Source organism: Homo sapiens, chromosome 1, assembly GCF_000001405.40.
Source record: "Homo sapiens chromosome 1, GRCh38.p14 Primary Assembly".
Classification (NCBI taxonomy): Eukaryota; Metazoa; Chordata; class Mammalia; order Primates; family Hominidae; genus Homo; species Homo sapiens.
The window spans coordinates 203,059,297-203,079,161 of NC_000001.11; the positions used below are offsets into that span (position 1 = coordinate 203,059,297).

Consider the following 19,865-nt stretch of genomic DNA (forward strand, 5'->3'; position numbering starts at 1 on the left):
CAGGGTGGGGCCCAGCCCCCTACCCACTTCCCTTCCCCTGGGCTGCTGTGAAACTGAGCTCAGAGACCCAGACCCCAGCAAGGCCCTTCCTGAACTGAGTTGGTCTGGTCCATGTGGGCACAGCAGGGCTGGGAGGAGGTTCTTAGGATGAGCCTAGGGAGAAGGAGGCAAGGGGGTTATGGGACAGTGACCTGGGTCCTCTGGGTCTCTGGCAGGGCAGATTGAAATCTCTAAGTCAATGTCAGGTCACATGCAAACAGAGAGCTCCTCGCCCTCTTGGGGTGGTCAGGTGTTCCTGCCCCATTTCTTGTTGTATTTCTTCAGAGGAAGAAGGAAGAGCAGAGCAGAGGAAGTCCAGGGTGGGGAGCAAGGGTTGTGGGTCTCCAGCTCTTGCACAGCCCAGTGGTCCCTGGAGCAAGAACAGTTAAGGGAGAAGGAAGAACTAGTGAGTCTGTTGTTCCTCTTCCTATAAGACACCAGCTGCTTGAAGATGCCCGCAGGAAAGGAATGCCCTTTGCCCAGTGGGATGGTCCTACTGTGGTCTCCTGGTTGGAGGTAAGCCTGAGCAAAGGGAGTCCACTCAGGGGTCTGGAGGGAAGGATGCTTGGGGTGGGCAGAGGGGTGGTGTCCTAGAACTTTTACAGTGTGTTTCTCCCCTGCCAAGTGGAAGTGTGCCATACCTAGCATTTAGCCCCCCTCCCCCTCCCCAACACACACACATACCAGTCGCAGGAGAGAGTTGATGCTACTTTTAATCTGTAAAATGGGAGAGTGAGGGGTTTGATGACCGCCACATTCCTATGATCTGTATTTGCTATTCGAGTCCGTGGATGAGGCCTGGCCCTTGCCCCTTGCTGTTGCCAAACTCTTGGTGGTAGGGCCCAGGCCTTGAATTACCTCCCTGTGCCCGGTGTCTGCAGCTCTGGGTGGGGATGCCTGCCTGGTATGTGGCAGCCTGCCGGGCCAACGTCAAGAGTGGTGCCATCATGTCCGCTCTGTCGGACACAGAGATCCAGCGGGAGATCGGCATCAGCAATGCCCTGCACCGGCTCAAGCTCCGCCTGGCCATTCAGGAGATGGTGTCATTGACCAGCCCCTCTGCCCCACCCACCTCCAGGACTGTGAGTGGCCCCTCCTTTGCCCAGGACATTTTCAGAGGTCCTGGAACATAGTTTGCAAGGTCTCCTGTTGGGCTTTGGGAAGATGGCAGCATTGAGCCCTGCCCCTTCCTTCCCATCCTCACAAAGGGCTCTCCCTGGTCTTCAGGAGGATATGATGTTGATTCTAGGAGGATACCAGCAGCCTTGGTTCCCTGCCTTTCACATACCACCCATGGGGCTCCATCTCCCCATCCCTACTCTGCCAAAATTTCCACGTCTCTGGGCAGTTTCCAGGATGGGCTTTCTGGGGTTTTATATGGTTGTCAGGTTGGGGGAAACAAAGGGAAGAGGGCATTTGTGAATATTGTCTTGGTCCTCTAACACAAGAATGCGGACTGCTCTGTGGGCCCCTGGGGTGGAGTCTTTCATTGTCGGCCATCTCCATGATTGAGACCAGCCCCCATTTCAGAGGACTCAGGGAGGGAGCTTTGTCCTTGTCCTTTGGGCTCCCAGCCTGATGGGGATCCTGGGGACCCACACCCAGGACCAGCTAGGTTTCCTCTCTGCCTGCAGTCTTCTGGGAATGTCTGGGTCACCCATGAAGAGATGGAAACTCTGGAAACATCTACTAAAACAGTGAGTCTGGCCCTTGGCCTTTGTCCCTGGGCCTGGGGTTGGGACTGATACTCCCATGAGGATGAGGGGAAGGCTGTGGGCAGTCAGAGTGGGCTGCCATCGATCTCACGTGAGGTTGGTATCCCTGAGGTGTGATCTGCTGTCACGGTGGAGGGTTGTCGGGAGAGGGGTGAGGCTGGGAGCGGAGCAGTTTGTATGTGTGTGATCCTTCCCAGGAGGTCACAAGCTTGCCCTGGGCCACTGGTGTGCTACAGCGGAGGAGAGTTGGGCTGGGGAGGGCTTTGCCCTGCTATGGACCTGAGCCACAGAGTCTCTGCCCTTGTGCTTCCTCCCTGGTGGAGGAATGGGGAGTGTTGGGAGAGCTGGGCATCTTGCCTGGCTCCCAGTCAAGCCTGGGAGGTGTGTGTTTTTGCCACACACACATTTGCCCCACCTCAACGCAAACATGGGTGCACACACCAACCTTGTGTTCTCTCTTAACCATCCTGACGAGCTTTCCCCAGTCACCCAGCCAGATACTGGGATGTCTTTTTCCTCTCCTTGATGGGGCCTAGGGTAGAGCTGATGGGTTTCTTGACTTTGCCTGTTTCCCCTAACACGCTGCACTCGTTCCTGCTAGGACAGTGAGGAGGGCAGCTGGGCTCAGGTAAGACTCCCTACCCTGTCTAGAACCAGCTCCCAAAACTTCAGGACAGTGTTCTTCTGGTAGGTTCTCTCCGCAGCAGGAATCTCTGAGTCCTTCATATGAAAAGCCCTGGACATAGGTTCTCTGCTCCCATCAGAGTGCCCCCCGCCCCCACCCAGTTCCCTCAAACTGCTTGTTCTGGTTTCTCAGGGTGGCAGGTGAGGAGCCCTGGAGGACTGTGGCCCCTGCATTCCTGGCCCTTCTCCTCAGTCTCATTCTTTTCCTGGGAATAATCAGACCTAGATTAGTATGAGTCTTCTTCCTCTCCCTGTCCCTCTCAGGGGCACCCTGGTGAACTGAGCGAAGGTCTTTCATCCATTTCATGAGCAAACGTTTATTGAGCAAATATAAGGATTAGGCCTTTCCTGGCTCTCTGGATATAGAAGTAAAGAAAGCAAGCCCTCATGGAGGCAGTAAACAAATAAAGGAATAATATCAGTAAACAAACCATGTCAATAGGGATAAAAAAGACAGTCTCGGCTGGGCGCGGTGGCTGACACCTGTAATCCCAGCACTTTGGGAGGCCGAGGCGGGCGGATCACGAGGTCAGGAGATCAAGACCATCCTGGCTAACACAGTGAAACCCCGTCTCTACTAAAAATACAAAAAAAAAATAGCCAGGCATGGTGGCGGGCGCCTGTAGTCCCAGCTACTCGTGAGGCTGAGGCAGGAGAATGGCGTGAACCTGGGAGGCGGAGCTTGCAGTGAGCCGAGATCACACCACTGCACTCCAGCCTGGGTGACAGAGCAAGACTCCGTCTCAAAAAAAAAAAAAAAAAAAAAAAAAAAGATAGTCTCAATAAGTAAACAAATAAAGGGACAATATTGGATAGTGATGCGAGCTGTGAAGAATGAAGCAGGGAGCAGCACTGTGTATATCTGCTCAGGGAAAACCCCACCAGCAGGAGACTGGCTGAATCATTCATGCCATAAAACACCCTTGGCAGAGGTGATGGGTCGGGGGGGATCCGAGCCATAGGGTGTGAAATGAAGAATGCAGATCCTAAAAGATGCATGGAATTTGATCCCAAAACTCAAAACCAAACAAAATTAATAATATGTTGTTTAGGGAAATATACATGGATGATTGTAAAAAGTGTAAAACAGTTTTTTACAACCAAAGGAATAGTCAGAAAACTCAGCATAGTGGTTCCCTTTTAGAGGGGCAGTAGGAGATGTGTGCTGACAGCGAGCATCAGTGTGCAAACAGTACAGTGTGGGTAATGCTCTGCTGCTTAGCTTGGTTGGTGTCCACTGTTGCTAACTTCATTTATATGCTTCATAATGGGCACATTACATATAGTCTTATATGTATCAGCTATTACATTGTAAAAGAGAACAAAATAGACTTTTTCTATCTGAAAACATCAAGTAAGGGTAAGGAAAGAGTGAGGTAGGGTCGCTATGAAAACTAAAGCTTTCTCAAGTTGGGTGGTCACGGAGCACCCTGCCCAGGTCAGGAGGCCACGTCCACATGGCACAGGCCCTGCAGGACCACACGGCAGGGTGTGCGTGGGAAAGCAACAGAGGACCTGGAGTGTTCTTGGAGCAGAGGCTCAGGCCTTAGAGAATGAGTGCTGCTGGCTATTCAGGCACAGGCCACCACCCTTTATTTTTTTCAGTCTTCTGCCAACATTTAACTTCCTTGCTTCCTCCATGAAGCCAGCCTTGTCCCGGAGTGAGACAGGCTTCCTTTGCCACGCTGCAGGTCCTCTGTAACACAGCCTCTCCCCTGGGCTCAGCGGGCTTGAGGCTCACTGAGAGTCAGGAAGGCACGTCTGCTGCACAATACCGCAAATGCAACCCAGAGTCAACAGGAAGGATTTCATATTAGCTGCTGCCGGGATAGCTACTTCTGTTCATTAGTGTAGATAATTGATATGTGAGTGGAACCGTATCATTTCGAGATCTTAAAAAGTTCCATTTAAAATCCTCACCTCCCACCACTACCAGCCCCCTTATTGAAGATAAACTGAAATTGTATTGGACTGCCCTTCCTCCCTCATGGGTGGAGGATGGATTCATGTGTCTCCCGACCAGCTATACCAGCCTCAGCCTGCTGGCTCTACCTTCCTCCCCCATAATAGCCTCCTGCATCTCATTTCCCTAGACCCTGGCCTATGGGGACATGAACCATGAGTGGATTGGGAATGAATGGCTACCCAGCCTGGGGCTCCCGCAGTACCGCAGCTACTTCATGGAGTGCCTGGTGGACGCCCGCATGCTGGACCACCTCACCAAGAAGGACCTGCGGGTCCACCTGAAGATGGTGGACAGCTTCCATCGGTGAGCGCGGCTGGGACCCAGGGCCACCTCCCTCGTGGGGGCCTCCCCTAGCTCTGAGGGTCTGCCTCCAGGAACAGAGGTGCCTCCATCTCTTTCCGTGGTCTGTTCTGAGTGGCAACAGGTCTCCCCCTTGGGAAAGTCTCCCTTGTCAAATCCTTGTCACATCCTGTAATTTGAGGATTCGATCCTCAGATTGACCAGGTTTCTGTCCTTATAATGACTAGGTCATTGTGTCTAGTCCTAAAGACACAAAAAGTCATTTTTCTTTAGCTTCACCTCCTTTGAGATTTTTCCCCAGGTCTGAATTTTATTGCTTGTCTTTGGGCTTGCTGAATTTGCTGTGTTTACCTGACAAGACTCAAACTGAACCTGGTGTTCAATTTAGGTGTCTCATTCCAAGTTGAGAGGGAAGGTCTTCCTGGGCCATTGCCATGCCGACATCCCAGATCGGAACCTCTCCGCTTTGGGCTCACATCCCTTTTTATAGGATATCATCCAGTCCTCTCCTCCTCTTTGCTGAAAAGATCTTCTGTTCAAAAGTGTCTGCGGCGCAGGTCCCAAACTGGCAGCCTGTGGGCAGAATTTGGCCCACAGACTTGTTTTTGTTTGGCCCACATAAATCTTCACCACTCAAATTGAGCTGCCAGTATTTAAACAGTAGATTTTATATACAATTCTGGATTTCTGGCTTCTTTTGAAAACTTGAAAGCTCTGTCAACACATTCTAGCATGGAAGCAACCAGCTGGAGCTGAAGAGTGGAGTCCACTCAGGATGGGTGGGCCTGCTCCAGGGCCTCCCAGCCCCCCAGCCTGCTTCTCTCACTTGTGTTACCTGCCTGTTCCCAGCAGGCATTTGTGCTGGAGAATGCAGTAGGTGGCCACGGTTCTAGGATTTGGCAGTTTTTAGGAAGTCCTTCTTAACATCCAGCTTCAAGTCGTGTGGGTGGCTCTTTGAGCCAAGTCTTTTGTCTTGACTGGATAATAAGACCAGGAGTAGGGGTCTTCGAGGTTCTCTCAGGGCTCTGTGGATGTCCTGTGGTCTCTCCAACTCAGAAATCTTATAGAAAGTTAAATCTGGAAGGGATCTTGTTAGTGTCCCCATTTTATGGATGAGAACATTAAGGCATGGGGAGGAGCAGTAGCCCAAGGTCACTCAGGGATGATAGCAGAGTACAGGGGAACCCAGGTACGCTGACTCAAGTCCAGTGCTCTTGGCACTGCACAGAGCCTCCTGGCTTAGAACCCTTGGCCTATGTGACCCCAGCATGAGGGCTGACTTGTGAGGGAAGACCGCATCCTCCCCTCTGCACCCGCCCCCACCCAAATCAGCTAGGGCTGAAAAGGAATCGTTTTTCTCTGCCCGGAGGCTGCCAGGCCCAGCTGCACCTGTCCCCTACTCAGTGATTGATAGGGCTGGGGAGAGATGAGCTGTTGCCCCACCAAGCCGGGATGTGCCTGGGCTGCTAGAGGATCTGTCAGCCTGGCCCCAGCCAGGACTATGGAAATCCTCCCCGCAACCCCTCTGCCCCATCCCCAGGAGAGAATTGTGACCTGAACATGGGGTTCTAGGTTCAGCTCTGAATCTTGAGTACTTCAGAGTTTCTAAAGCATTTTCACATCTCACCGCCAAACTATGTGTCTACCTGCTTTTATTCCACGTAACATTTCACAAGCATGTTCTTACGTCTTTAAAATTTCTTTTAAATCATGATTTTTATGACAAGAAAGGGATATTTTAAAACCTTATTTTACAGATAAGGAAAACAAGTTCAATAGAGGTTGATTTCCATCAGGTCACCCAGCCAGGTGATTACAGAATGGGGCTCAAATCCTTGTCTCTTGACACCCTACTCAGAGCTCTTTTCCTTGGGACATGGTGCTCTATTGAGCAGGTCTTCTAGAAGAGCTCCTGTTTTGGTAGGACAAGCATGCATGATAGTCATAAATGTCACCCTAATAGTGCTGCCACTACTGAGTGCCTGTAATGTTCCCAAGGGCTGGCTAAGCCCTTGTATTTATTGTCACCTGCAAGAGAGGTGTGACCCCATCTCACATTTGCTGGGTGCCTCTCAGCTAGGAAAGGGCAGAGCTTAAGGGCTTTGTATTTTTGCCATGGTATGCAGCAGCTTTGAAAGGAACTGGACTGAAAATTATAGTGAGTGAGATTGAAATTAGACAGAAGGCATTTCCAGTCATGAGCTGTGTGTGCGCATGCCCCTTCACAGTGGACCAAAGCTTAAACCAGCGGCTTGAGCAACATAAGGGTGGCTTGGGCCAGAAAAGGGTTCCTGGAAGTGGCATCTCTGAGCTCTGTTCTAGGCAGAAGAGCCTCCTGCTGAGAAGTGAGGGGAGAAAAGGAGGGAGCAGTCTGCACAATTTAATCTCACAAAGCAGTGCCCTCAATAAGAGTCAAAAGCAGGTAGAGTTGGGAGGGACTTTCCATTCTAATTCTCTAAAGATGGGAAAACTCAGAGAAGCTGAATGACAAAGTAGCATTCAAGGAAGGAAGAACACTACAGCTCTTCCAAGATGGAATGAGCTGCCTTGAGAAGTAATGAGTTCGCTGCCCCTGGAGGCATTCAGGCACAGGCTCAGTGACTACTCTGAAGGAAGCTGTAGGGGTGACTCCTGCCTTAGGTGGGAGCGTGGACTGATGGCCTCCAGGGTTCCTTCTGACCCACAGAATCTGTGGTTCTATGCCTGGCTTAGTTACTGAATGCTTGCTCTGCACCTGATACTGTTTAAGTACTTTTAGTAATTTATGCGAATTAATTATTTCCTTTAATTCATCAAGCATTTGTAGAGTCCCTGCTCTGTGCTAGGGGTTTAGGATCAGTGAACAAAACAAAGATCCCTGCCCTCATGGAGCTTATGAATTCTAACTGGAAGAGACAGTCAAGGAATAATAAATATATGGTATGTTAATAGACAAAACATGCTAGGAAAAAATTAGACCAGGGTGAGAGGGATTGGGAGTATGGGCTAGGGGTGGTGATGGTGATAATTGCAATTTTAAATCGGATGAACAACGTGACTAGTGAGTTGGACTGAGAAGGTGACATTTAAGCAAAGACTTAATGGAGGCAAAAGGAGTAAGCTACACAGCCAACTGGGGGAGGAGTGTTCCAGGCAGAGGCAGCCACCAGTGCAAAGGCCCTGAGGCCTGCAGGCCCAGTGAGCCTGCTGTGTTTGAGGAGCAGCAGGGGTGTCAGTGTGGCTGCAGCAGAGAGAGCAAGAGGGAGAGTGGCTGAAGTGGGTGTTAAATGGGTAGTGGAGCAGATCATGGAGTATCTTATAGGCCATTGTAAGGACTCCGAGTGAAGTAGGGATACAAAGGGGTATCTTGTTTTTGCTTTTCCTTCCACTTGCAGGTGGTAGGGGTCTTTGTCGTTCCAGTGCCTGGAGAGAGAGGGACATGTTGGATTCATTCAAAGAACTTTTTTTCCCATCAATCCATCCCCAGGCCCGCTCCCTGACTGAGAGGGAGGATATGGGTTAGACAGAGAAAGGGAGTAACCTCGGGATGGGTCGCAGGCAAGGCCCTGGGGAAGGAGGAGCATGAGGAGGCTGGGGTGCTCTTTGTGCTGGAGGCAGTAGGTCTGGACATGCTGTGGCTGATGCTGGATGTGAGACAGGTGGTGTGGGAATGTGGCCCCACTGAGGCTCTGGCTTGGGGGCTGTGTGCCTGCAGAACCAGTCTTCAGTATGGCATCATGTGTCTGAAGAGGCTGAATTATGACCGGAAGGAGCTGGAGAAGAGGCGAGAGGAGAGCCAGCATGAGATCAAGGGTAAGCTCGTCAGGCTTGGAGAGGGTTCGGGAGCAGCCTGCTTGGCTGGTCCCTGCCTTGGGCCAAGTGGAGGGGAGGCATTCTGTGTCTCAGGGAATCTTCCAGTCTGAAAAGGAAGATGCAGCCTCACCTTAGGGAGCTCCCAGTCTGATGGAGGAGACATAGTCCATGCCAAGTTGTCTATAATTCCCCTCCCTCAACCCCACATACCAGATAGCAGCCACCAACTGGACAAATGCAGTGAATCCTCTGGGACGGTGTTATAGACTGGTGTGCCTGTGGAACTTGTTGATCTGGATGGGGCTGGATGGGAGATGCAAGTCTTAGAGGAGACCTTGAAGGTGGAAAGAATAAGAAGGCCATTCCAGCTTGGGTCAGGGGGATGACCCGTGCAAGGGTTCTGGGGAGAAAGCTTGGAGCCTGTTGGCCTGACCCCGGGTCCTGTAAACTGGCAGGGATGGAGTGAGTGGGGGGTTGGTTCCCCAGGCACCCAGGTGCCAGGGAGGAGAGAAAGAAGATATGGAAATTTAGGGATGGAGTGGGGGTCAGAGAGCAGGGTGGACTGCGGCTCTGGGTTTAGGGAGCTCTGCTTCTGTCCTTGGAGGGCCCTTGATGAAACGTAGTATCTCCTTCCGTCCCTTTTCTTCCCCCACACTCCAGATGTGTTAGTCTGGACCAACGACCAGGTGGTTCATTGGGTCCAGTCTATTGGGCTCCGGGACTACGCAGGAAACCTGCATGAGAGTGGTGTGCATGGAGCCTTGCTGGCCCTGGACGAGAACTTCGACCACAACACACTGGCCCTGATCCTCCAGATCCCCACACAGAACACCCAGGTGGGCAGCCTTTTAATCAGTCAACTTGAGTCTCTCCCTGTATCCCTCACTTGCTCTCTTTCTTTCCCTCATACACAAAGGCTTAGGTATCTTGGGGGGTGGGGAGCTTTTCTAGGGCCTATGCCAGAGGGGATCGCAATGTCCTCAATTCTCCAAGTGATCGCTGTGCATAAGCAAGCCCTCATGGGAACACATGGCCTTCACATACAGAGCACACCTAGCGTGGGCCTGGCACACAGTGTGCTCTTACAATGCGCATCCCCGTCCTGCCCTGGGTACCTCTATCTCCTCCTAACCCCACTTCATAGCTGAGACTCTGAGCCTTCCTTTTCATCCTGCTTCTCTGATCTGACTTTTCTTAGAGGGGAATGAGCCCCAGGGCCCCTAGGGACCAGAGAGCCCATATCACCTTTGTCTACCACCCTAGGGATCTGCTCCTGGGCCCCCAGCCTTAAAAAAGCTAAATATACCAAATTACACAACCCAGAGCCTCTCCACACCAGGGCTTTGGCTCTCTGTCAACAGCTCAAATGATTAAACATCTCATGAAATTACATTTCATCATTTTTATGGAGCTGTCATCTAAGAATATATCTAAATTCTCTTGAACCTATTTATATTTTTGGCCTTTCTAACTTCCTGTGGGTAATAGATTCTAGAAGTACTGCTTGTTGTGTAGAGTACTTCCTGATTTTATTTGTCCTGAAAATGCCCCTGTCAGGCCCCTGGGGAAGGAACTACCTCCTCTTGATGGTTTAGGTTTGGTAAGGATATTTGTATTTAACTAGTTCTCACCTTTTATGATTTCATAAACTCTGATTGTATTGCCTCTGGGCCCAAGCCTTTGTCTCTCCAGACGGAGTGTTCTTAATTCTTTTAGGCTTTCCTCATATAGACTCGCCTCTGTCCCCTGATTGTTTTAGCTGCCCTTGTCTGGACTGTTTGCAGCTGTCAGATCTCTTTTGAAATTCAGCCACCAGAGCTGCACAGGCTATTCTGGGAGCAGACACGTTTTGGCTTGAATGAGGGTAGGGCTGTGTTGTCTCGTAATTCTGGGCAGTGTGTTGGCCTTTTGGGGGTGGTGGCAGTGCACAGGGCCATTGTGTCCTGTAGGCATTCTGCAGTGACCCCCCCGCCCCGCCCCCACCCCAACCAGTCAAAATAGATAGGACAGATCCCTTCATTCTCCAAGAGGAGCCTGGATTTTTCCCCCAAGTGCGTTCTCTCCACTTGCCCACTTCGGGCAAGCCTCGTCTGCCACTTTGCTGCCCACTCACCTCTCTTTGTGAGACGCTTCTGAAATTTACACCTATCCTCCTCACCTTTCACTGCCCAGAGGAGCAGTGTCATTTGGATACTTGAAATTTACTGTGCTTCTCCTTTCAGATCATTTCTAAAAATGTTATGTTCCCAATACTGGCACAGACTGTCCTTATGGAACTCTACGCTTAATATTTTCTACCTAGAAATGGACTTTTCTCTTTCTTTGATTTCCTATCTCTAATGCATTCAGTTTTGGAGGATAGCAGTAATTCTGTAAATAGTAGCAGGGACACCTCCCTATGGCTTTCTAACCTTTCTTAATTTCCTGACCCCGTCATTGAGCTTAGCTGTTGGGAGAAGTAGTGTGTGACCCAATACGGAATCCCTCATTTAAAATGGTTAAAAATGGCTCGGTGTGGTAGCTCAGGCCTGTATGCTCAGCATTTTGGGAGGTCAAGGTGGGAGGATTGCTTGAGGCCAGGAGTTTAAGACCAGCCTGGGCAACATAGTGAGACCCAGTCTCTACAAAAAGTTTAAAAAATTAACTGGGTTTGGTAATGCGTGACTGTAGTCCCAATTACTCGGGAGGCTGAGGCGGGAGTTTTGCTTGAGCCCAGGAGTTTAAGGCTGCAGTGAGCCATGATTGTGCCACTGCACTCCAGCCTGGGCAACAGAATGAGACCCTGTCTCCCTCAAAAAAAAAAAAAAAAAAAAAGGTTAAAAATATCTGGTAGCAGTTTTGAAAACTTTTCTGTTTTTGGCATTTCTGAAAACTCTGAATGAGTTAATCTCCTGGGAGGCCTAGAGAGAGTCTGTATGCACACAGCCCAGGGACAACCAGTATCCACAGCTGAGCAGGCTTCCTAATTTTAAGTTTTTGATGTGAAAACTTATCAGATATATTTATTTAATCCAAATCAGTCATGTTCTGGTTATCCATGGTTTACATGCTTACTTACCCCTCCAGAAAGAGAAAGACAGGCACAATTTTCCCCTTTCAGACAATTTTTTTTCCAAGTAGGTGACGTCTCTTTATCTATGTGTTCTATGATCCCACTTTTTTGTTTTTTTTTTTTCTTAGAGACAGGGTCTTGTTCTATCACCCGATCTGGAGTGCAGGTGTGATCATAGCTCACTGTAGCCTCAGACTCCTGGGATCAAGCTATCCTCCTGCCCAACTAACTGGTAGCTGGGACTGTAGGTGTTCACAACCATGCCCAGTTAATTAAATTTTTTTTTTTTTTTGAGACAGGGTCTCAGTATGTTGCCAAGACTGCTATTTTTTTTTTTTTTTTTGAGACAGAGTCTCACTCTGTCCCCCAGGCTGGAGTGCAGTAGTGCCATTTCGGCTCACTGCAAGCTCCGCCTCCCGGGTTCAAGCAATTCTCCTGCCTCAGCCTCCCGAGTAGCTGGGACTACAGGCGCCTGCCACACCATGCCTGGCTAATTTTTTGTATTTTTCGTAGAGACGGGGTTTCACTGTGTTAGTCAGGATGGTCTTGACCTTCTGACCTTGTGATCTACCCGCCTCGGCCTCCCAAAGTGCCCGGCCACTACTTTAAAAAAAAAAATTATGTTGTTCTAATTTGCTGTATATGAAAGAATCCTAGGCTTACAGCTTTACTTATGAGTTTGCTTGAAGGAGCAGCTTCAAAAAGGTGTGTAAAGGCCTCTAATGGGCTAAATGCACTGGAGCCTTGCATCTCTGACCTTGGACCCTTGGAAAATGGTGAAAGATGGCATAAAGGTAGTTAACTATAGCCCTTCCCACCTTTCCCTCTCCTGCTCTATGGACTGCAGGCACGCCAAGTGATGGAAAGAGAGTTCAATAACCTGTTGGCCTTGGGCACAGACCGGAAGCTGGATGACGTGAGTACCTGGCCATGAATTAGGAGCCTTGGGGATTTGGTCATCTTCGTTGGATTGAGGTTCATGAGTTCTGCCTTCCCTGGGCTAATTGTTGGAAGGCTAGTCTATGGGAGGAGAGCCAGAGGGGATGGGGATAATGTCAGGGGGTTGAGGAGGTGGACCAGCCCTAGAAGAACTTGTCTTGGGTAGTAATAGGCTGTCGAGAAGTCTCTGTGAAACTCCTGTGCAAAAGCTGAAGGCCCATGTGTTGTACTTCCAGCATCTTCCAATTCTGTGCCCCGCCTTCCTATCCACATAGGATCAAAGATTTTCCCCAAAGGCCATATCTTTGGGATCACACCTTTTTCTTAATCTCTCAGACCATGTATCTTCAGTGCTGAGCTCAGCACACCTCCAGCTTGCTCAGTAAGATTCCAGCCTGTCCTCCAGGAGTGTGGGTGTGTGGAGGCGGATGCCCTGCTGAGGTTGTTAAATGACAGGTTTGCTCTCTCGCTCCCAGTGCAGTCTGCACAGTTAAACACACGCTCGGGCTTTTACCATCCCAGCTTTCTCTAGTTTCACCCTTGGGTCTACCTTCACACCAAGTTAAAGTTTTCCTCTCTCTGCCCTCCTGGTCACTGAAGGAACAGTCCCTTGCACTTGATTTCATCAGGCATTCCCCTTGAGTTGAGGGAAGACCCTGGCATTCTAAGCCATATGGTCCCCTTTGAGATGCCAACCTAAGCATCCTACTGTTTTGTTTTGCACTGGTTTGCTGAGGTCATAGCCCCTCCTTGGCCCCCGCCTCCTCTTCCTCCCTCCTCACTTTCCTATCACTGCCCTTGCCTGTCAGGTCTGCGCTAGTTGATCTGGCTCCAAACAAGTTAAAAGAAAGCCCAGAGTGTGTGTGTTTTTCGCTGCTCTGTCTTCAGTCCAATCACTGTTTCTTAGTAGGGTTTAACAGGGCGAAAATCCACCTTTGTAGAAGGATTGCTCTGCCTCGGGGACACAGGGCACTATAAGGAATACACAGAATTTGTGGAAGTGTTTTCTTCACAGAGGTACCTTGAAGTTTGGGAGAAAAGAATAGACTTATATATGTATTTTTTTTGGTTATTTAGATACTTTAAAGGGGCTAAACTGGCAGCCCCCCCTCCCCCGACCCAGAGCTGTCCCAACTCTGATAGATCTGTTTTCCCAATGCCCCTGTGATATTGACCCTCCCACTAATTCCACATGCACTCAGGATCTCTGCTTTGTTTGTTGCTGTCTGGAGAAATGACTCCCATATATCTATTAGTGTGGTGCTGTCTAATTTAGAAGCTATGTAGTCCTTCAATCCTTACAAAAATATTCTTTGAATGCCTGCCCTGTGCCAGGCATTGTGCCAGGCATGGTGGTTAGTGATGACGATGTCTCACTTTATGGTAATGATCACCACATGAGATAGGTTATGATGCCCATCTTACAGATGAGGAAATTGAAGCTCTAAGAGGGAACTTACCTGCTGTGGCAGAGCAGGACCGAAGCAGATGCGAGTCTGATTTCTGAGCTCTTCCCCCTTGTTCCACTTCCTCTGGGAAGCTTGTGGAGCTATCTGGCCTATCAGCCTCCAGACATTGGGGTGGAGTTATTGTTTAGACATTGGGGTGCACATAGAGCTGTGCAGTGGAGTTTTTGGGATTCAACTAGGTGTGGGCTAGAGAGGAGGGTTTTTGTGGGAAGCGTAGAGTAGAAGCCAGGTCCTGAGAATAAGGCAAGATTTAGGGGTGAGGGGAGGGTCTGGGGTCCAAGGAGACTGCTTCCTGTCCAACTGTCTAGCACATCATCAGCAACCTTGAGTTGTCTCTTGCAACCACACCCTCTGCTGATTTTGGTACTTAGTGTCCCTTCTCAAGCTTCAAGGCTCTTAAGGGCGGTATCCAGTTCTCCCTGCATATGGAGATGAGGACTCAAGGGAAATAAGGAAGAGGGGAGCAGGAAGGAATAACATCTGACTGTTAGGGGACAGGGGAGGAGTGCAGAAACAGGTCCTTAGGGTTGGCTGAAGGTGGAAATGGAGATAAGGGGAAGGCGGGAGAGAGAAAAGAGGCTCTGGGCTAGGGTAAGAGCAGGATCATGGGGAGGACAGCAGTGACAAGGGAAGTTCCTAACAAACTCAGGAATGGGACTCCTGCATAAAGAGCCAGCTGCCACCTATTCATTTAATGAATATTTTTATTGAGTGCCTAATGTGATCCCAGGCACTGCTCAGAGGTTGGTGATACATTGGTTGGAGCAAAAAAGGTTATGGTTTCTGCCCCATGGAGCATAGAATTTGAGAGAAAGAGCGAGAAAGAAAGTGAAAGGCATGGAGGTAGGGAGAAGGGAAGGAGGTGAGAAAAGGAGGAGGAAAGAGATACAGTCATGCATGGCTTAATGATGCTTAGCTACGGGGATAAGTTCTGAGAAATGCATCATTAGGCAATTTGATCACTGTGTGAACATCACAGAATGTACTTACACAAACCTAGGGGGTATAGCCTATTGCACACCTAGGCTATATGGTATAGCCTGTTGCTTCTAGGCTACAAACCTATACAGCTTGTTACTGTATTGAATACTGTTGGCATTTGTCAGTATTTGTATATCTAAACATAGAAAAGGGACAGTAAAAGTATTATAATCTTATGAGACCACCACTGTATATGCCATCCATTACTGACTGAAACATTATGTGGTGCATGACTGTATTAATGAAATAATCTCATAAATATATATAAAAATGCTACTAGGATGAGTGCTGTGACCGAGAGGTACATGGTGCTGAGAATTTATCAGAGCATTTGACCCACTTGGCACACACAACAAACCCTAGCGGGGAAGGGCTGGGAGGGGTTGTTGAGGCAAGAACAGGTGGGTGAATGTCCATTGTTCCTGCTAGTCCCACTCTGCCTGCATCAGCTCTGAGAACATGGGGTGGAGGGAGATTGGGCATGGCTTCCAAGCAGGGTGGATAAAGGCTCTGAAGTGTGGGGTGGGGAGGCCTGTGCAGAGGGGGATCCTGTAGGGTTGTGGCCCTGGGTGCCCTGTGGCAGAGATGGTTATTTTGGAGACATGGCTGGCATGGGTGAGGGGGGCAGGTGGCAGGGGGCTGCCTGCCATGTCCTTTGGAGGAGACTGCATCTGCTTGGTGGTCTGCCTGACCCATCCCTGTTACAGGGTGATCTCATCTGATCCCATTAGTGGTAGGCAGCCTGAGAAACAGGTAGGGCAGATGTTATTATTCTCATTTTACAGATAAGGAAACTGAGGCTCAGAGGGGTCACTCACCTGGTACAGGGTCACATAGCCAGTAAAATGGCAGAGCCAGGATTAGAAGCCAGGTGTCTGACTCCCGCCCGACATAGTACTCTTCTGGTATACTGGGCTACAGCCATTCGGAGGCCCCAGAAGGACAGGACAGTGTGTATAGGGACCGGCTGTCACCTCCCATGGGCTGAGGCAGAGGAATGCCTTGAAAGGTGAATGGTCATGCCAAGCCTACTTTGAGAAGATTGCGGTGGGCTGGGAAACAGTTCAACTGCAGGATGGCAGACCCAACAAGACTCTCCCCCGCCCCACACACCCCCTCCATCCGCCACCCAGAGACAGGGAATTTCAGAGTCGCAGGGTTTCCCGATTCACTGTACAGATGGAAAAACTCAAGGCTAGAAAGGGGAAGTGACCTCGCTCCCTCTTTCCAAAGGGGTGGGAGTGGTGCCCCTTGAACCAGCAGCGACTGGCCCCCTCCAGGCAGGGCGTGAGGATGGCAATTCCAACAGGGCCCTCGGGCCTCTGGTGTCCCCCATGGTGCAGGGGGATGACAAGGTGTTTCGCCGCGCGCCCTCCTGGAGGAAGCGCTTCCGGCCGCGGGAGCACCACGGTCGCGGCGGCATGCTCAGCGCTTCCGCGGAGACCCTCCCGGCGGGCTTCCGTGTGTCCACCCTGGGGACCCTGCAGCCCCCACCGGCCCCGCCAAAGAAGATCATGCCTGAAGGTGAGTAACAGGCGGGCTGGGCATGGCCGAGGCCCAGCCGAGCGCGGGCTTCTTCCTGGCACCCCAGGGCCGGGCCGGGTGGAGAGGGGCGAGGCCGAGGCTGGTGCCCCGCGCTCCTGCGCTGCAGCTGCACTAACGCTCCGCGGGGAGCGTGTGTGCGCACTAACCCGCCGCTCTGTGTGTTCTCCCGCGGCTGCCGACTTCTCCCAGCTGGGACGGCGGGGTCGCAGAGACTGGAGACCTCCACGGTTCGGACCTACTCCTGCTGACCCCCCATCCTCCCGCCCCGGGTCTGACGGGGGAGTGCCCGTGGCTCGGGGTAAGTGGGCCAGGCCCGGGGACGCGGGCACCTTGCTGCTGGCCCTCGGCCCCACGCACCTGCCCTTGGCTGCCGGCCTGGCCCTGCCGCTCCAGTCCCGCTTACCAGCACTGCCTGGCTTGCCCCTTCCTGCTTCGTCTGGCCTGGGGCGCTTTGCGCTTGGAGCACGCTGCGTTGCCGCTGTCGCACACATCCTACAACCTCTCTCGCAGATGCCCTGCAACCTGCCTCACAGTGCGATGCCTGTCTCTCTCTCTCCCTCAGCTCACTCCCACTATCTCTACGGACACATGCTCTCCGCCTTCCGGGACTAGCCATGGCCCCCAGGGCTGGCTTCCTCCTTCTGGGTTTCACAGGCTCCTCTGGCCCTGACCCCTCTTGCTCGTTCCCCTTCCTTCCGCAGCTCCTAGTCTCGTCCGTGACTTTCCGGTTGCCCTGGATCTCAGAATATATTCGTCCACCCCCTCGGCACCCCATTACCCCGAGTCCCACCGTGTGTCCGTTGTAAGTCCGGTGGATGTGGCTGGGGTTTCCTGGTATTGTGGAGGCACCCAGGTTGTCCATGCTTGGGATTCTGGGGGAAGGAGAGAAGGGCAGCTCAGGGTGGATGTGAAGCCACCCTTCCTCTTCTGGACCCAGCCTGGTCTGCACTGCAACCTCCACCAGGACCAGGATCCTGGGCCACAGGCTGGGATGGTCCTTCCAAGAAAGGGTCATTTCAGACGCAGCCCTGCTTGGGCTATTCAATCTTAGGGTGTCTATCCACGTCTGGCTGTGCCAAATGGTCTGGCAGCTGGTTTTGGCATCCCCAGCATCACCACTCTCCCAACCCATCACCGTGACTGCAGTTCCTGCCCCCATTCTCTTGGGGTCAGGGAGGGGCTGGGAAGGGCTACTGAAGGCCCCATTCTCCCACAGGATGGTGAGGCTGGGAGGAGGAAGACTGAGGTAGAGATTCCAGGCCCTGGCATAAGCTGAATCCCAAATTTGAGTTTGGGAAGAACCAGAGAGAAATGGATCCCTGAGCTCTGAGCCAAGGGTGAGGATGGGGAAACTCTAAGCTCCCACCTAATAAGAAGCATAGGCAGACCAGCCAGAGGGAGAGCCAATGGCCTCTGGTAGCCTTAAGCCCAAAGGGCAGTGGGAATGTCCCCTGCCCCAACCATCGGGTGGAGCTCCTGCTGGGCTATGGGGAAGGGAGGTTGTGCGGATCTTGACTCTAGGGCAGAACAGATCTAACCATGCATTGCTAGCTCTGCTCCCAGCATCCCTTCCCCTTCTCTCCTCCTCTGCCTCACTTCTTTAGTAATCCCAACCCTATAAAAATGAACCTAATGGGTGGATTGAATATACATTGAGCCCAAAGTCAAGTTTGGGGAAAAGGCAGACTAAGGCCTCCTTTCTCTGACCTCCCAGGAAGAAAATAGCTTCTCCTACAGTGATTCATGTCCCAGGTCCAGGAAATCCAATGTTGGTGAAGGCAGCCACTCTCTTGCTTGTCCCCAAATCACCTAACCCTCATCCAGGGCTATTTTGGTGGGCAGGGACTGCCTCCTCCCGGAATTCCTAAGATCCGCCCAGCTGCCACCATTTTCATTGCTTTCCCCAGCAGCATGATGGGAACCCAAGCTGAGGGATACAGGTCCTGATTTGGTAGGAATATTATTCCCAAGAAATACCCGCTCCTCACCTACTCCCTCATCCTACCAAGGTGCCTGAAAATGTTCAAGACTTATGTTCAGGGTGGGATGATGGAACCGAGGGCTTCATCAAAGTGAGAGGAAAGGAAAAGCATCTGGCATGTGTTTCTTGGATAGGGGCCAGTGCAGTGCCATCCTACAGGTGGCTGGAGCAGCTGCTTTGCAACCTGATCACCTTGAGTTCTGAGCAGGGACTAGGCTTGCAGGTGAGATAATGGGCCAGGGCACCCAGTCCAGAAGGAGCAATGGCACCTGGGCAGTGCCAGGGCTTAAAGCCCGCTGCTCCTTTTCGGTAGAGGAGAGGCCCATCACTGGTGTGGTGGGGTGGGCTCTCCCTTAGGCTTGGGCAAGGCAGCCACCTGCCCTTGCTCTCCCTTAGTGTTCCCTGGCCTCCCTGCCATCAGGTTGCTGGGAGTGGAGATGGAGGGATTATTGAGCAGAAAATGAGTTGGATGGAGATAAACAGCTCCCATCCCTGGGTAATGGATGGTAAGATGATGGAGATTCCTAAGATTGGTGGAGTTGGGCAATGCATAGCCATCTGACTCCTTCAGGGTGCTCTTGATGGGCTGGCTGTAAGGGAGACTCAGTCCCAGCCTCTCCCCTCTACAACTCCTGCCACTGTTGGCCATGTCGTAAGGCAGCAGCTGTGCCAGGATAGCTGGGTCCATTCAGAGCACCTTGAGAAGTGTTGCAGGGAGGTGTTAAGAAGAGAACTCTGTGCAAACAGTGATGGAAGGCTGTTGTCTTGGTGTATCCCTTGCCTCATAGTCAATATATTTTTTTTTTGGCGAGTCACCAGTGACCCGAGCCCTCCACACCAGCCTCCTGTATCTCATCAGGTCCCTTCTCAGTACTGTATTTGCTCAGTGCATCAGGAATGGGTGTATGGGTGTGTGTGGGTGGGTGTGAGTGTGGGTGTGTACGTACCAATAAACAACCTGGTTTTAAGACAATGTACAAATGGCCTCCAGTCTTTTTTTTTTTTTTTTTTTTTTTTTTTAACTCTGAACTCACCTGAGATTTCCAGCTTCTTTCACAGTTGTAAAGGCTGCTGTACTCTGGAAGGAAATGTCACAATTTTCAGAACTTGTAGTCAATAACTATTTATTTATATAAGCACAGGACTGATAGATTAATGTTTGGGTTGCATGTGCCCAGTAGGTAGAGGACCAGATAAGGAGAGAGGAAACTGATGTCTTCCTTCATCTCGCTCACCTGGTCAGGCTGTCACCCTTTCCTGCTGCTCCTGGAGTTCCTTCTCCTGAATGCCCCTTGGTCACATCACTCCACCGTTCCCACTTTCAGCAGCTGCCAGCACCTCTAGATCAGAGTTGCAGTTCCTCCTCAGTGTGGCCTAAGAAGCCATTCATGACTTGGCTCCT

General features: G+C 51.1%; 1 protein-coding gene and 1 long non-coding RNA gene across 11 annotated transcripts in view, besides 3 other annotated features; one reads left to right on the forward strand and one right to left on the reverse strand.

The window, feature by feature from the left end:
* PPFIA4 (PPFI scaffold protein A4) overlaps positions 1 to 19,440 on the forward strand; it is a 52,246-nt gene extending 32,806 nt beyond the window's left edge. For 4 of the 10 annotated variants that reach the window (NM_001393951.1, NM_001393953.1, NM_001393955.1 and 1 more), the window contains 11 exons: positions 474 to 555; positions 921 to 1,121; positions 1,674 to 1,736; positions 2,356 to 2,382; positions 4,532 to 4,707; positions 8,399 to 8,496; positions 9,157 to 9,332; positions 12,396 to 12,464; positions 16,281 to 16,461; positions 16,672 to 16,780; positions 17,045 to 19,440. In NM_001393951.1, coding sequence (NP_001380880.1) covers positions 474 to 555; positions 921 to 1,121; positions 1,674 to 1,736; positions 2,356 to 2,382; positions 4,532 to 4,707; positions 8,399 to 8,496; positions 9,157 to 9,332; positions 12,396 to 12,464; positions 16,281 to 16,461; positions 16,672 to 16,730 — 1,132 coding nt within the window. In that variant the 3' untranslated portion in view covers positions 16,731 to 16,780; positions 17,045 to 19,440. The remainder of the gene's footprint in view (positions 1 to 473; positions 556 to 920; positions 1,122 to 1,673; positions 1,737 to 2,355; positions 2,383 to 4,531; positions 4,708 to 8,398; positions 8,497 to 9,156; positions 9,333 to 12,395; positions 12,465 to 16,280; positions 16,462 to 16,671; positions 16,781 to 17,044) is intronic. The other 6 variants (NM_001304331.2, NM_001393950.1, NM_001393954.1 and 3 more) reach the window with 3 other exon arrangements.
* Positions 1,713 to 2,297: an enhancer, noted in NCBI's record as "H3K27ac hESC enhancer chr1:203030137-203030721 (GRCh37/hg19 assembly coordinates)". NCBI's record gives its function as "activates a minimal SCP1, AML or CMV promoter by ChIP-STARR-seq in primed H9 embryonic stem cells {active_cell/tissue: H9 hESC(primed)}" and the evidence as "EXISTENCE:reporter gene assay evidence [ECO:0000049][PMID:30033119]".
* LOC105371687 (uncharacterized) lies at positions 6,340 to 8,392 on the reverse strand. The gene is made up of 2 exons (XR_922432.2): positions 8,225 to 8,392; positions 6,340 to 8,106 (listed from the first exon to the last, which is right to left on the reverse strand). It is a non-coding gene; the product is annotated as an uncharacterized LOC105371687 (long non-coding RNA).
* Positions 10,171 to 10,220: an enhancer, noted in NCBI's record as "active region_2341". NCBI's record gives its function as "activates an Ori minimal core promoter by ATAC-STARR-seq in GM12878 lymphoblastoid cells {active_cell/tissue: GM12878}" and the evidence as "EXISTENCE:reporter gene assay evidence [ECO:0000049][PMID:35858748]".
* Positions 16,523 to 17,258: an enhancer, noted in NCBI's record as "H3K27ac-H3K4me1 hESC enhancer chr1:203044947-203045682 (GRCh37/hg19 assembly coordinates)". NCBI's record gives its function as "activates a minimal SCP1, AML or CMV promoter by ChIP-STARR-seq in primed H9 embryonic stem cells {active_cell/tissue: H9 hESC(primed)}" and the evidence as "EXISTENCE:reporter gene assay evidence [ECO:0000049][PMID:30033119]".
* Positions 19,441 to 19,865: the final 425 nt, after the last annotated feature.